This window comes from Homo sapiens, chromosome 1 (genome assembly GCF_000001405.40).
Source record: "Homo sapiens chromosome 1, GRCh38.p14 Primary Assembly".
Taxonomy (NCBI): domain Eukaryota; kingdom Metazoa; phylum Chordata; class Mammalia; order Primates; family Hominidae; genus Homo; species Homo sapiens.
The window spans coordinates 230,701,333-230,717,384 of NC_000001.11; the positions used below are offsets into that span (position 1 = coordinate 230,701,333).

The 16,052-nt window shown below is 51.6% G+C and overlaps 1 protein-coding gene across 2 annotated transcripts in view, besides 1 other annotated feature; it reads right to left on the minus strand.

The window, feature by feature from the left end:
- Nucleotides 1,191-16,052, minus strand: part of AGT (angiotensinogen) — a 43,061-nt gene continuing 28,199 nt past the window's right edge. The window contains exons 1-5 of one of the 2 annotated variants that reach the window (NM_001384479.1): nt 12,754-12,790; nt 8,663-9,521; nt 4,601-4,868; nt 2,861-3,005; nt 1,191-1,997 (exon numbers count right to left, since the gene is read on the minus strand). In NM_001384479.1, coding sequence (NP_001371408.1) covers nt 1,809-1,997; nt 2,861-3,005; nt 4,601-4,868; nt 8,663-9,491 — 1,431 coding nt within the window. In that variant the 5' untranslated portion in view covers nt 9,492-9,521; nt 12,754-12,790 and the 3' untranslated portion in view covers nt 1,191-1,808. Of the gene's footprint in view, nt 1,998-2,860; nt 3,006-4,600; nt 4,869-8,662; nt 9,522-12,753; nt 12,791-16,052 lie in introns of those variants that run through there. The other variant, NM_001382817.3, reaches the window with a different exon arrangement.
- Nucleotides 7,295-8,116: an enhancer, noted in NCBI's record as "H3K4me1 hESC enhancer chr1:230844373-230845194 (GRCh37/hg19 assembly coordinates)". NCBI's record gives its function as "activates a minimal SCP1, AML or CMV promoter by ChIP-STARR-seq in naive H9 embryonic stem cells {active_cell/tissue: H9 hESC(naive)}" and the evidence as "EXISTENCE:reporter gene assay evidence [ECO:0000049][PMID:30033119]".

The following is a 16,052-nucleotide window of genomic DNA, read 5'->3' on the forward strand; positions in this document are numbered from 1 at the left end:
GCCGAAGCCGCCTCTAAGTAGAAGAAATTGGTTTGTCGACTGCCTGCTGCCTTTTAAAATAAAGTCACAAACTTAAATGCTTTGTTTCCAGCACGTGGCTGCGCTGTCTCAGGTCTCTACGAGCAACTTCCAAGCCTGGACCTCCTGTAAAACTGCAGATTCTGACTCTGTAGGTCCAGGAGGGGCGTGAGAAGCCACATTCTAACAAGCTCCCAGGGCAGCTGCCGCCACTGCCGGTCTAAGCGCCACACTGAATAGCGAGACCTTAAGGCACTTCTGGTCTCTGTGCTTCCAGTTCTTCCGAGAAACTTGGCATCTTGCAGCCGTTTCGGAGAGTCCATGTGTGCCAGCTCTACCCGCTTTGAGAGCAGAACAAGCCAGGAAGCTCTGAGAGTGGGACTGGAAGGTAACTGAATAAAACCGGTGACGGGGAGTTACGACGAAGCAACTAAGGGCACTGCTGTTGCCGACAGAATCCCTCACCTTGACATCGAGCTAGGGAGATGTGTTCAAAACCAGGGGAAGACTCTCAGGAACATGAGGGGAGAAGCCGAGATTTGTAATCCCCGTGGCTGACTTCACTTTAGTTCTGATCAATAGCTAACACATTGCGCGGCTTATTTATTTCAATATGTATGGAAGGGAGGAAGATCGAATGCCTTACACAAGTAGGTAGGACAGCATCACCATTGCTATCAGCCGACGGCCGTGGGCCTACTGGGTGCCTACCGCTTCCTTGGCTCTCCCCAAGATTCCGAACTGTGGGCCTAATCCCATCGAGGAGGAGCAGGCAGAGGCACTCAACAGATGGGGGAAAATTGCAAATATTTATTTGTGAAGATTTATTTCTCTACCTTCCACTCCCGGGGCACAATACCAGCAGCAGTCTGGCCCTGTGTCACCAGGACGGAAGAAGTCCCATCTGCCTGGTTCCTTTCCCAGGTGCCACATGGGGTATGGGGCCTTCCCTGTCACCCTCTTCCCGCCCCCTGTCCATCACACAGATGGCCACCACTGCTTACCAATGGAAGTGTCCAGAGAAAAGCATCACCTAAAACTTCAAAGGACTGCTAAGTACTGGCTCAGACCTCCCATGGAAATTCCATCCAAAGTCCAGGAAAGCACTTTCGTTTGCACAGTCTATCTGCTGAATTGTATACATCTGTTTGGCTGCTAAATGAAAGATAAAATTTTTGGAGGCTTATTGTGGCAAGACGTTTATTACTAACACAAGGGAGAAATAACCAGCTATGGTTCCGCATTCAAACAGAAATTCAGGTGCTTGCATCTTTCACGTATTGTTCAAAAATCACAAGCATCTGTGGAAAAAACTAAGGTATTACAGACACTACACGGAGGTCATGTTCTTACATTCAAGACACTAAATACAAACCGAAGGCAATGCAAAAATGTATACTTTAATTTTAAAACCCAATTTTTGTTCTCAACTTGAAAAGGGAACACTTTTTTGTTTCACAAACAAGCTGGTCGGTTGGAATTCTTTTTGGAACAGTAGTCCCGCGCTAAACACTGGTTCTTGCCTCCCCACCCCCATTCTCTAAAATAAACCCAGCAAACTGGGAGGTGCATTTGTGCCGCTGCAGGCTTCTACTGCTCACTCCATGCAGCACACTTAGACCAAGGAGAAACGGCTGCTTTCCAGCTCAAAGTCGACTCATTAGAAGAAAAGGTGGGAGACTGGGGGTGACACATCGCTGATTTGTCCGGGGTTGTTATCTGCTGCTGGCCTTTGCCTCAAAGGCCAGGGGCAGAGGCCTTGCCAGGCACTGTGTTCTGGGGCCCTGGCCTCATGCTGTGCTCAGCGGGTTGGCCACGCGGCCCAGGAAGTGCAGGGCAGTGGCGCTTTGATCATACACAGCAAACAGGAATGGGCGGTTCAGGGTCACCTCCAAGACCTCAGGCTTGTTAAGCTGTTGGGTAGACTCTGTGGGCTCTCTCTCATCCGCTTCAAGCTCAAAAAAAATGCTGTTCAGCACCTGCAAAGCAGCAGACATCAGGATCATTCTGAGGGCGCACTGGGTGACCCAGGGTGCTGAGGGCTAGAGGGCCGGGGTGGGCTCAGGACCTCTGTGCTGTGCACTGTCCTGGAGGGGGACATTTTCCAGCCTGCCAGGAGGATGCACAGTGTATGCCTGCCCCTCAGTGTAGGCAAGGGTGTGTCTGTGTGTAGATGACCGTTAATTGGCCACAATGGCCAAACTCACATGCCGGCTCCTCCCTAACACACCCCTTACATCCTCCCATCTTCACATTCTGCCCTGATGTCCCAGGCAGAATTCCTGGCTCCCTTGGCCATGGCCCACCAGTGCCAGGGCTTAGCTAACTTAGCACAGAGGGCTCTTCCCGCTGGCCCCCGTAAGAACTCCCACTTTCTCCCCAGCACTGAGCACAGGGCCCAGAACATCAAGGCACATCCTTGGTAGCTGCAGATGTGCATGGTGCCACATGGCAGGGGGACATTCTGTCTGCTGCTCAGCATTTCCCTGAAGAAGGGGCTGGGCCCAGGGCACCAGGTCCAGGGGTGCTTGCTGTCTTCATCCCGGTTTCAACTCCACTATAGGAACCCTGGAGGACCCTGAGGCAAGGCAAGGCCAAGCAGGACCATGGAACACACACCTAGCAGGAGGAGGCACAGCAGGGATGGGGAGGGATTTGCTGCTCTGCACCTGGAAGGCCCCAGAATGCTCTGGCTACTTCTCTCCCACCTTTGGCCCTACTCTCCGCTCCCTCTTGCCCTGCTGGCCCCACCCATAGCCTCCTCTGTGTCCCTTACATCCATGCCTCCCACCCTGTGCACACTTGGAACCCAGGTCAGGCACAGACACAGGCTCACACATACCTCCCCCACCCTGATGCGGTCATTGCTCAATTTTTGCAGGTTCAGCTCGGTGTGCAGAATGGCGGGCAGCTCAGCCTGGGCGAGCAGGTCCTGCAGGTCATAAGATCCTTGCAGCACCAGTTGGGGCATGGTCAGGTGGATGGTCCTGGGGAGATGATGCACAGTTAGGAAGGCTCCAGGCCACACAGTGAGGGCTCTCCCAGAGGCCAGGCAGGCTTATGCTCCTTGCACCCAACCCTGACGACAGGGATGTTTGCTCCCCCCATCACCCAACTAAGTCATCCTCCCCCTTGGGGAAAATTTCAGCAAAACCTACAATAAAAATCCTTCATGTCATTTGCAATACTATGTGAGGGACATAGAAGATTTACCGATGAGGACCTAGGAATGGTTGTCCTTTGGTGCATTCTGTTTTTAGGTTGGCTGCATTGAAGGTGTGTTACTTGGGTAATTTTTAAATGCTATTCTCTGAAATAATGCACTGTGTCTTACTACTGCCACAGCAGTGTTCTTGATGACATGACACCCATGAAAAGGAGAGAGGCAGGAGGGTACAGTGTCAACCTCGTGCTGGACACGTTGCTATGTCAACTCGATTGATCTTCGTATAGAGCCTCTTCCATCTTTTGGCATCCTTCAGAGCCCATGGACATTTCCAGTGATGTATCAAGCACTTATAAGAGCTGACAGTACACCCATGTTTACAGGGTACACTGCACTATTCACAGCAGCTCAAAGGTGGAAGCAACCCACGTGTCCATCGATGGATGAGTGGATACACAAAAGGTGGTAACCACATGCAATGGAATATTATTCAGCCTTCAAAAGGAAGGACATTCTGACATGTGCTACAACATGGGTGAACCTCGAGGACATCGTGGTGGTTGCCGGGGCCAAGGGGAAGGGGAAATGGAGAGTTAGTGTTTCAGCAGGACAGAGCTTCAGTTTGGGAAGTTGAGAAGATAAATGGAGATGGACGGGGGTGATGGCTGCACAACAGTGTGAATGGGCCTAGTACCACTGAACTGTGCACTCGAAAATGGTTACGATGGCAAATTTTGTTACGTATATTTTACCATCACAATTTTTAAAACATAAAAAACACCCAGAGTTGATGTCAAGCCATCGTGTCACTCAATGCCTGCCTCTGGGAGCAGATTTCCAGGCCTCGATGATCTGGGGTGATGTGTAGTTTGAGTCCAGGGCTCTGTGGAAAGGAATTGCAGCAGGAAAGAGGAGCTAACAACACCTATCCCCACCCAGCCGCCAGCCGCCAGCAAGGGCGTTCTGGAGTCAAGGGACGCTCCCTGAGAAGGCCCCACCCCCGCTCACGCGAAGTCCGAACCCTCCTGGCAAGTCAGTTCCAAGAAGCTCTTGGATGTCACAGGTGTGCTGTGTGTCAGGTGTGGGACCAAAATGGTCCTCTCTCAGAGGGCGGATTGCAATGTTTTCTCCCCCTCCAAAACTACCAGGCAAGTGTAAGTGTAGAAAAAGCATTCTTCCTCTCCTCCTTTACCTTGCCTGCACTTGAAAGACAGACACTAACTGGAGAGCTGGGTGCTGGCTGGATAGAGGACTGGTAGACAGACACACAGGCCGCCTGCCCAGCCCCGTGCCACCGCGGCCCTGCCCTGCTCTGCACCCAAGGCTCAGCTCAGGTGTGTCTACTCCCCACCCCGCCCCCAGCCTGGGCAGGACAGTGTGGCTCCCACATTCCAGGGGAGACCGGGAGGCTCCTACCGGGGAGATAGTTTCTTCATCCAGTTGAGGGAGTTTTGCTGGAAAGTGAGACCCTCCACCTTGTCCAGGTCAGAGGCATAGTGAGGCTGGATCAGCAGCAGGCAGGCGCTCTCAGTGAAGGGCACTTGAGTCACCGAGAAGTTGTCCTGGATGTCACTCCAGTGCTGGAAGGTGCCCATGCCAGAGAGCATGGGAACAGACACTGAGGTGCTGTTGTCCACCCAGAACTCCTGGGGCTCGGCCAGCAGGGAGAAGCCCTTCATCTTCCCTGAAATCCAGACAGGAGACAGGGAGGGAAGAGTCACCCAAGACAGGGGCAGGAATGAGGGCTGGCAGACACCAAAGGCCCAGATCCTGCCCCTCGCCCTGCCTCAGCCTCCTTCCTTGGCCCCCCCCAGGCCACTCTGCATTCTCCTGGCCACAGGACCGCAAGTGTGGCTCAAATATTTCTCCTGTAAAATGCAGCCATTTGAGTTCACTGAGGCAGCCCTAACCGCCACCTGCAAGACACACAACATGCCAGGCACCAAACCGGGGGTTTTGCATCTGTCACCTTAAGGGACATAAGCCACTGGTACCTGCCAGGTCAACTCAAACCTAGAACTGTCCTGACCCAAAGGCTGTGGTTTGACACACTCACTTTTTAAAAAATTTAAGAGATGTTATTTTTTAGAGTGACTTTAGGTTCACAGCAAAATCGAGCAGAAAGTACAGAAAGTTCCCATATAACTCTTGTCCCCCACTACACAGCCTCCCCCGTGATCAACATCTCACACCAGCGTGGCCCATTTGTTGCAACTGACGAACCTACACTGACACGTCCTCAGCACTCAAAGTTGATAGTTTTCTTTGAGTCTCCCTCCTGGTGTTTTACATTCTGTAGGTTTGGACGCACGTAGAATGACATGTGGCCACCACCGCACTATCCCACCACTCCTAGAGGCCCCTGCTCATACTCACTTTTTAATCCATGTCTAGCCCCAGCCATGGCAGAGCCCACCAGCTGTCCTGTGGCCCCCACCCTCCCCCATCACAGTCATAGAATACAGAGTGGGCCACGCAGGCCCCGGAAACGAGGGCTCCATTCCTCAGCAGCCCTTGCTACTGGGGAGACTCACACAACCTCGTTGTGATGAATGGATTTGCACACTGGGCCTTGGGGGCAGGGGTGAGCCCTCTGTTTCCCCTCCTGCTCACAGGGCCGTGCAGATGACAGAGAACTCGGGAGAGCCCGTTGTGGGAGAAGGACACAAATTTGTGTGTGACGCAGTTACCTGGGGTCTTTCCATGACAGCAGCCCACCCTCTGCCTCGACCTTACACTAGCACATCCCTGCCCTCGGCTGTCCTCCCACTCATCCTGAAAGGCCTATTCTGCGGTTGTTCTTAGGAGAATAGGGTGAAGTTGTGTATAAGTTTGTCACAGAACAGTCCCCTGGGCACGTGGCACTTGGGAGTCTGAGTAGAGATGGTTCAGAAACAGTGAGGTCTCCCTTTGTACTGAATTGGAGGTCCCAGCATGAAAGTAGGGCAGCTGGGAGGACAGAACTGGCAGGCAGGAGCTGGGCATGGCTGTGCCTCCCCTGGGTCCGGGTCTCGTAAGAAGGCAGTGGCAGACCTGGCATATTTCTCGTCCTCAGTCCTCGGAGCACTCAGTCTCGGAAGGGCATGTGAGCGGGAAACTGCAGGGTTCCCCTTGCACGTTCCCTGCAGGGACCTCGGTGCTGCCCACCTGGGCTGGCAAGGCTTTTAGTTTAGAGGGGGGAAAGGGACAATTCTTTTCTTCCAACAAACTAAACTAAAAAAGGGAAGCTGCCTCCCAAAAGACGCTGGGATTTGACATGAGAGTGGCTGCCGTCTTCCCTCTGCTCGTCTGACATGCACAGCTCACCATTCTCATCCGGAGGCTAGGTAAATCTGTCGAGGTCAAGTCAGGACCTGGTGTCATGGAAACCACCAGGGCCAGCGCCCCATGCTCAGGAGCACAGCAAGCACTGGGCAGACGGTACCCTGGAGCCCATCAGGCCCCAGATCCTCAGGTCCTCTCTAGTGGGACACATCTAGCTGCCTGCTGAGGTCATGTAAATAGAACATCATTGCTAAAGGGAAACCTAGAGGTCCCGAGACAGCCCCCGATCTCCTCACTGGACAGACCATGTGGGCAGGAAGTGGCTGCCTCCTTTGACGGAAACTGAGGCCAGCAAAGTTAGGAAGTGGGGCAGGGTCAGGGCAGCATGCGGTGGAGGCCGGCGAGGATCCTGGGCTTCCTTTGAGTCCCGATGTGGTTGGCTTTTTTATTCTTCCTCCTCTTCCTCCTGGCCTGGCTCTGCGGTCTGGGTCAGGTGGATGTGCTCTCTTTCGAAGGGAGACCCATTTCAGATGCCACTGGCTTTCTTGCCTTTGCCTTCTGCAGGACCCTCCTTCTCAGTGAGCGCTCCTCCCAGCACTTCTCCTAGGGACAGCAGGCTAAGTCCATGTGTCCCTGCTCTGCCCTGCACAGTGTGCTGCCACCCTCAACCGGGCAACCCTCGGGCTGGCCTCTGCCCCTGTGACCAGTCAGTGCCAGGGCTGAGCAATCCCCCCATCTATCACCTCTCCCTGAACCCGAAGGGAAAGACCTCAAGGAGGTTGTTGTGGTAAGAAAAATCACTATGCGCCACTGAACCTCTTTCTCCACAGTCTTGTCTTTCACCTCCCGCCTGGCTCTCTGTCCCTCACGAGGTTAACATCTTGACAGAGCCTCCTCAGTGTCTCTTAGACACACCCCTCAGCCCCACCCCACCCATGGATTTGCCGAGCTGCTCCCTGAGCACGTGTTCCCGTGACTGTGTGCCTGGACTCTTGCGTAACCTTCAAACAATCCTCCCTGCCTCCAGTCTGCACACGGCAGGCTTCCGGGATGACCTCTGAACAGAACGCGTCCCCATTCCCACACCTACCAAGCATGGCGTTCAAAGTGTCTCCAGCTCTGCCCTCCCCAGGCCCATTTTCTGGTTCAACACTCATGCCAAGCCAACCGCCCCATCCTCGTTCCTTGCCCCAAACTCTGCAGGCTGGGCTCATCATGCTTGCTCCTAGCTTCACCAGCCCTGTTGCCCTCACTGCCAGGCAAGGCCTGCTCTCCGCTCCCCAGTGACCTCTGTCCTCTGAGAGCCCCGAGGCTTCCCTGAGTTACCTTGTGGAGCACGTTTCCCTGCAGCTCCAAATCCTAGGCATTTGCCCATTGACCTTTAAAAGCCTGGAGGCAGGGCCTATACAGCCCTCCTCTGGCCTCCTCTGAGATGCCAGGCTTAAAGTCTTACAAGTAGCAAATCCTCAACAAGTATTTGTTAAATGAATGCTTTAAGCAATCTGTGGCTGGGTGCAGTGGCTCACACCTTTAATCCCAACACTTTGGAAGGCAGAGGTGGGAGGATCGCTTGAGGCCAGGAGTTCAAGGCTACAGTGAGCAATGATGGCACCACTACACTGCAGCCTGGGTGACAGAACAAGACCCTGTCTCAATAAAAAAAAAAAAAAAAATCAACAATCTTTGTAGTAGAGGGTTTTCAGTAATGCCCCTCCTAACATGAAAGGGATTTAAGCAAGCCAATTGCTTATTTCTGCATGGGCCAGGGACCCCAGTTCCTGACCTTCTCAAGAGATATGAACCTGACCCTTCTGAGTGTAGAACTGGGCTGTGGGGCCAGGAGATGTGGGTTTCAATCCCAGGACCCCCACTGGTGGCTGTGCCATCTTGAGCAAGGCACTTTGTTTCTCCGAGTCTCTATTTCTTCACTGGTAAACAAAGGCACAAATACCTCTTCACCACATCATAAGGGGATTAAATGATGTAAGAAAAAGGATGTTGTATAGTCGTGCACATAGTAGGGCAGCAGGTCCAGGAGGTGGACGGCCCATCCAGGGACCCAGCGGAGCAGCCACTTCCCCACTTCTCAAGGGTGGTCACCAGGTATGTCCGCAGGGCTGCCCCCTGCCCATCTCCAAGGCCTGACTGGCTGATCTCAGCTACACATTGGATACTAAGTCCTAGGGCCAGAGCCAGCAGAGAGGTTTGCCTTACCTTGGAAGTGGACGTAGGTGTTGAAAGCCAGGGTGCTGTCCACACTGGCTCCCATCAGGGAGCAGCCAGTCTTCCATCCTGTCACAGCCTGCATGAACCTGTCAATCTTCTCAGCAGCAACATCCAGTTCTGTGAAGTCCAGAGAGCGTGGGAGGACCACAGGGGTATAGAGAGCCAGGCCCTGCACAAACGGCTGCTTCAGGTGCAGGCCTGGGGCTGTGAACACGCCCACCACCGTGGACAGCAGCAGCTGGGCCTGGCTATCAGCCCTGCCCTGGGCCACTAGCAGGCCCTGTACAGCCTGCAGGGCAGACAGGACCTTGTGCGCATCCAGCCGGGAGGTGCAGTTCTTGTCCTTCCAAGGAACACCCAGGATTGCCTGTAGCCTGTCAGCTGTGTGGTCCAAGGCTCCCAGATAGAGAGAGGCCAGGGTGCCAAAGACAGCCGTTGGGGAGAGGACGGTGGCCCCATGGACCACGCCCCATAGCTCACTGTGCATGCCATATATACGGAAGCCCAAGAAGTTGGCCAGCATCCCGACCATTGCGGCCCTCAACTTGTCTTCGGTGTCAAGTTTTGCAGCGACTAGCACCAGCTGGTCCTGTAGGGCCTTTTCATCCACAGGGGATGTCTTGGCCTGAATTGGAGCAGGTATGAAGGTGGGGTCTTTGGGCTTCCCGGCATTGGCCTTTGCCAGCTGCTCACAGGTACTCTCATTGTGGATGACGAGGTGGAAGGGGTGTATGTACACCCGGTCACCTGCAGCCAGGCCAGCCCAGGCCAGGAGGCAGAGGATGGTGGCCCTCAGGCTCACACCGGCAGGAGCCATCTCAGACTGGGGTGCTCGCTTCCGCATACCCTGAAATATCATTTTGCAAAGGGTGAAAGGTGGTTATTAACTGACCTTTAAGTGCCATCTAACCAGATCTTTCATTGTCTCAATATTCCCTGTCACCATTTAGCCCAGAATAAATCCATTCATGTCTACAAAAAAAAGAAGAAATGGATTCAAAGCTCCATGGAAAATATCTACATGATCCAAGTGCAAAATGCACCAATATCAGCTGAATTATGTCCTACCTCCCCCAACGGCCATAATGCCCGTGTTGAAGTCCTCAACCCCAGGACCTCAGAATGTGACCATTATTTGGAGACAGGATCTTTAAAGAGATGATTAAGTTAAAATGAGGCCATGAGGGTGAGCCCTGATCTAATATGACCTGTGTCCTTATGAGAAGAGGAGATGAGGACATGGACACACACAGAGGGAAGACCATGTGGGGACACAGAGGGAAGACCATGTGGGGACACAGAGAGAAGACGGCCATCTACAAGCCAAGGATAGAGGACCCAGAGGAAACCAACTCTGCTGATGGCTGGCTCCCAGGCTTCTAGCTTCCAGAACTGTGAGATAACACATTTCTGTTGTTAAACCCTCCCAGTCTGTGGTACTTATGGCAGCCCAAGCAGATTAAGACATGCTCCTGCCTGCAGCTGTAAGTTCTCTTCCTAGAGAAACAAGTGTGTGCCAATCAGTAGGTCTTTGTGGAGGCCTCCTAGACCCCTGAGATGCTCATTCGAGGGCCCTAGGGTGAGGGCTGGGGATGGTTTTGTCATCTCCCTGTGGTCCCAACATGCAGCCGGGATTGAGCACCACAGGCTCAGCCCAAAGTCCAAGTATTTCCCACGTGTCTCAACCCCAAAACCAGCTCTCAACCATCCCTGCATAGCGCTATCCCCTGCAGAGCCCCAAAGGCATGCATACCTAGCATGGCTTGCCCAATGATAGTTGGATTCCTTAGTCTGTGCTGGGACCACGTATAAAAAAAAAAAAAAAAAAATAGAAAATTCTCAGGTGACTCTGATATGTAAGCAGGGTTTAGAACCCCTGCCCTAGACACGGGTCCAGCACCACGTTCTCTCAAAGGCCTTGCAGCTGGGCTTCAGCCTCAGCTGCTACAAATGAAAGCTACCCTGAGACCCCCAGAAGAGGTTCTTGGGCTGGCCCTGCTAATTCATTTCATCTGACTCTTCTTGATTGAAGGGATGAACGTTTATTCTATTGATTCATTCAATTCTAACATTTTGTACCACATCTCACTCATTTCTTGTGGAGGGGGGTGTACTGCAATATCGTCACTTCTTGGCCTTTTCTGTCCCCCCAGGGCTAGGCCAGGCTTCCTTGGAGCTGTAGCGTGTCATCACTGACTCAAGGCCACCTTGATGCCTAGATTTTTCTGCTTCATCTAAGCATACCCAGTCATTCTTCTTACATTGGCAGCTGGCTTCCCTCACCCAGACCCGTAACCAGCACCTGCCCTCAACACGGTGCAGCTGCTGAAGTACCTGGTGTGTTTTGTTCTGCTTCAGTCATTCAAATGCCAAATTCTGACCTCAGCTACCATCTCACCCCACTCCCCATGCATTTGACTCCATCCGCTGTTCTCAGGAAGAGCCACATGACATGGAAAAATGGAACAGAAAACTCTCTCTGCTGCTTGCAGGCCTTTCTGTGCAGAGAAGCCTAAGCCACCAGTTCACACCTAATCTAGACAGTCACATCAAATCAGGTCAACAGGGGAAACCTGTGGGAACCGACTGCTGGGAAGTCCTGCCTGACAAGCGCCAACTGTTCGGGGTTTGGATGGCGCTGGTCGATGCAGCCCGCTCACTGTGCTGCTCCTGCTCAGGCAGCGTCTCCAGAGACGCAATTCCATGGGCCATTTTTGAGGCAGAGACTGTCGTTTGTTCTCAGTTGTGATCTGCGGCTGCTCCCTAGGCTGGTTCCAGGTCTGCACGCAGCCGCGTCCTGGGAGTAATGGTGCTCTGGGGTGGCGGGCCTGACACCCTCGCCCTGAGTGCCCCTCCGCCTTCTCCTCTCCTGCCCCTGCCTCTTGGCCAGCACCTGCCCCTTCTATGTCTCCCTACTTCTCCCGGGCTGAATGCTAAAGGTGAAGATGACGGCTCATGCTCCTGTGGTGCCTGCCATTTGCAGGGCACTGTTCTCATATCAACCCCTCTGACCTCACCATAGTCCTCACCTTCCCTGAGGTTTCCCTGATGCAGTATTTCACCCTGCAGCTTTCCCCACCACACCGGGCACTCTCAACTCTCTCATCCAGCTCCCCTTTTCCCTCCTTATAACCCTCTGTACCATGTAGTTATGCACTTATTCTGTCCAGCGTCTTTGTCTGTTTGCTCTGATGTGAATGTGAGCCCCGGAACAGGGTTCCCGCTGTTGTGTTTACTAATACAGCCCACATTCCTAGGATAGTCCCTGGGACCTACTGCATCCTGGAGAAGTAGTTAATGAATTGGTTCATGCTGTTTTGCAGAGGAACAGAGAGGTCCAGTGACTTGTTCAACGTCACACAGCTGGGAAGAGACAGAACTAGGACTCAGAACCAGGCCCCCTGACTCTGTCATCCACGAGCTGAAGCACCAATCTACGCTGCCCTCGAATAAAATTGGAATCTGCCTTTTAGCTTATCCCAAAGCTTAGAAAGCACTTTCATGTTATATTAGTTCTCTTCAGCTATACCAGAGCCCCTGAGACAGGGAGCCCAGGCATCGTTATTAGTTCCATTTTATAGGTGAGCAAATCGAGGTTCAGGGAGATGGTGACCAGCCTGATGACACACAGTCAGGCAGTCTGTCTCGAGGGAGGGGTAGGGTGACCACTCTGGGGATCCCAGCTGGAGACTGACCGAGCCCGGCCCTTCCCTCCAGCCCCAATTCCTGCACAAGCCCTGCTATTCCTCCTGATGGCAAGAGGACCCGGTGGACTCTTGGCCATGATGACTCTGTTCCTGTACCAGTCTGCTCCGTTCCTGAGGACCCTAACTTTTCTCAGCGGAAGCAGGAAGACCTGACCATCTTGTCCTATTGCTGAGGAGGAGCAGCTCCTCCTGTAAGACCCCAGGTGGGCACCGAGTGGGGGAAAGCCCGCGTCCGGATGACTGGTCTTATGAGAGGGGAGAGGTTTTTCAGTCATCACCGTGCCTCCTCCCGGCCTTTTCCTCCTAGCCCACAGCTCAGTTACATCTGAGAGAGACAAGACCGAGAAGGAGCTGAGGGGGCCCCCGGCTTACCTTCTGCTGTAGTACCCAGAACAACGGCAGCTTCTTCCCCCGGCCGGGTCACGATGCCCTATTTATAGCTGAGGGGTGGGGATGGAGCTGTTCCCAGGCTGCCTGTGCACAGGCTGGAGAGGAGGGTTACATCACTTGGCCAGACCACAGGCTGGCCAGAAGGACAGATGCCAGAAGCGACACTCACGCTGGGACCTCTTCCAGGAAGTCTTAGTGATCGATGCAGAGTTTCACTGCTGAACAGAGTGAGCCGGTGCAGGGTCGAGTTACACATTTACCGAAGTTTGCAGGAGTCGGGGCCAAGGTTCCCAGAAACGGGAGCATCTCCCTAGGTGTGTGACAGCCTGAGGCCAACCACCCAGGCCTTCTGACCCAGCCCCGGGAGATGTACCCCCAAGAGGCCACAGGGACATGCAGGCCGGAGGTGCAGAGGGCAGAGGGCAGGGGAGAGTCTTGCTTAGGCAACACGGGGGCCACTTCTGACCCTGCTGCCCGCTCATGGGATGTGTGACCTTCAGCTGCTCCAAAGAGCCTACCCTGTGCAAAGGCCTCTAATAGACACTGGGGAAAACACACAAGCAAGTGAAAAGTGCCTTCTGGAAGTTTCCAGTGTAGCTGGGGAGACTGTTAAACACCAACAATAGCACAGCCAGATTGAAAGACACAAACAAAATGCCTTCAGGATGCAGGCATTGAAAGATGTGCTGTTCTGTGTTTATGCTGTACAAATTGCAAATGGTAAGTTTCACATGACCAGTAAAAGGGTTATAATTCTTATTTTCCTATAGGTAAGACTTGCTTTTGTAGTCATTATAACAGGGCATGACAGAGACCTTGGTGAGAGTCGCCAGAAGCCAGTGATCACAAGTGACGCAGTGGGTGAGGCAGGTTGGGAGTGGTGATGTGTCCAGCCTTAAATACATGGTATTAGGGCACTGAAGGGACAGGAAGGAAGATCCTGCTTCAACACAAGCAGGTTCAAGGAGCCACGGCATATCCACGATGGCAGACATGAAATTACCCAGGAATGGAACATTTAACAACAAAGAGCAGGAAGAGATGGTGCCTGGATATGAGGCAGAAGCTGTACATTCACTGACTGAACAATCAACAAACACACAAATACCTCTTTTTTACCCATTACTCTAAATCTTCATTTAAAAAAATCATATCTCACATGGGCCTGTAAATTCTGAAATACATTTTTTTAATTACTTTGTTCCTATAGATAGGGACTCCTCAAAAATCACTTGTCTGGGGCCCCACAGCGACTTAGAGGTGGCTTTGTCTGAACAGAACATTCGGGCCAGGTACAGTGCCTCGCATCTGTAATTCAAACACTTTTTGAGGCCAGGAGATGGAGGTTACAGTGAGCTATGATTGCACCACTGCACTCGAGCCTGGGCTACAGAGTAAGACTCTGTCTCTAAATAAATAGACAATTTTAATTTAATTTTTTTAAAATAAGAGACCATTCAAAGTGCTCCTGCCTGCGAATGGGTTAGTTGGAACAGTAGAGACTGGGGTCCTAGGCCTGGCTGTGCCACTAACTAGTTGTTTGAGGATCAGCAAGTGGTTTAACTGCAGTAACAAGTCCACCTGGACACAAGGGGGAGGTAAGGATCTAGCACTGATTAAGCAACAACCTTGTGCCCAGTGTTTAAATATTTCGGCTCTTTAAAGCCTCACAATTTGTTTCATTCACTCACTATTCCTGGTGCTCAGCATATGTCAGGGAACAAAACAAAGATCCTGGTCTTTGGGAGAGTTTCCACTGTGCCTGGGCCTCCTGCCTCGGGCCCTTGGAATGATCACTCCATTCAACAGCAAAGATAATAAACAACTGATCAGGTAACATGCTGGAAAGTGGTGTAAAAGAAAATAAAATTTCAGGACCCTCTAAATTTGGCCTCTAAGCAAGCCAAACTTCTCTTAATAATGACACGTTACTGGGGAGAACATAAGAAAATAATTTTGGTTAGATTGGACCCAATAAAGAATATCTGCTTAAACTTGTTGCAAGATTGGTTAAAAGCCCTTAATCCATGCCCAAGGCTGACTATCAGCTGGGGGATCTTCTACGTAAGGCTTTAAAGCTCATTAAAATCAATCAGAAAATTGCTAGAGAATTTTATTGAGAATGTAAATTATTCCCATAAGGAGCAGCCATTCAAACTGACTGCAGACATTTGACCCAGCTCAGATTCAGGCCAGTTTTCTTCCCAGTAGGCACCTTCTGTGTTCATTCCATCAGTGGAAGTTTCTTATGTGTACATTCCATCAGTGGAAGTTAGGGACAGAGCTTATCTGTGGCTAAATGAAGACTGTTGAATGAAAAGCAGAGGTTCTACATAGAAACCAAATAAGCCATCTGATATGGTTTGGCTGTGTCCCCACCCAAATCTCCAATTGTAGCTCCCATAATTCCCATGTGTCATGGGAGGGACCCAGTGGGAGGTAATTGAATCATGAGGGTGGATCTTTCTGATGCTGTTCTTGTGATAGTGCATAAGTCTCATGAGATCTGATGGTTTTATAAAGGGGAGTTCCCCTGAACATGCTTTCTCTCTTTTGCCAGCCACCATGTAAGATGTGCTTTTGCTCCTCCTTCACCTTCCACCATGATTGTGAGGCCTCCCCAGCCACGTGGAACACATAAGTCCATTAAACCTCTTTTTCTTTATAAATTACCCAGTCTCTGGTATGTCTTTATTAGCAGCGTGAGAACAGATACCATCAGTCAGAATCGGATCCAGGAAACCAGCCACATATGGAGTCAGCAGAGCATGATGTATTAGTCAGGCAGGTGCTATTGGGATATGTAGGGAAAAAAAAGAGAGATCAGACTGTTACTGTGTCTATATAGAAAGGGAAGACATAAGAGACTCCATTTTGAAAAAGAGCTGTACTTTAAACAATTGCTTTGCTGAGATGTTGTTAATTTGTAGCTTTGCCCCAGCCACTTTGACACAGCCCTAGATCCCTTAAACCTTGATTTTATACAACACATGTTTTTGTGAGCTCCAGGTTGGGTCAAAGTGGCTGGGGCAAAGCTACAAATTAACAACATCTCAGCAAAGCAATTGTTTAAAGTATAGCTCTTTTTCAAAATGGAGTCTCTTATGTCTTCCCTTTCTATATAGACACAGTAACAGTCTGATCTCTCTTTCTTTTCCCTACAGGGATGATGACGTTTGGGATCAGTTCTACTCTGTGGTTTCTGAGATGAGACTTGGTCTAAACTAGAACTCCTACTTTCCAATCTCTTGACCACCCAGCTAGTCATGGGATGAACACAT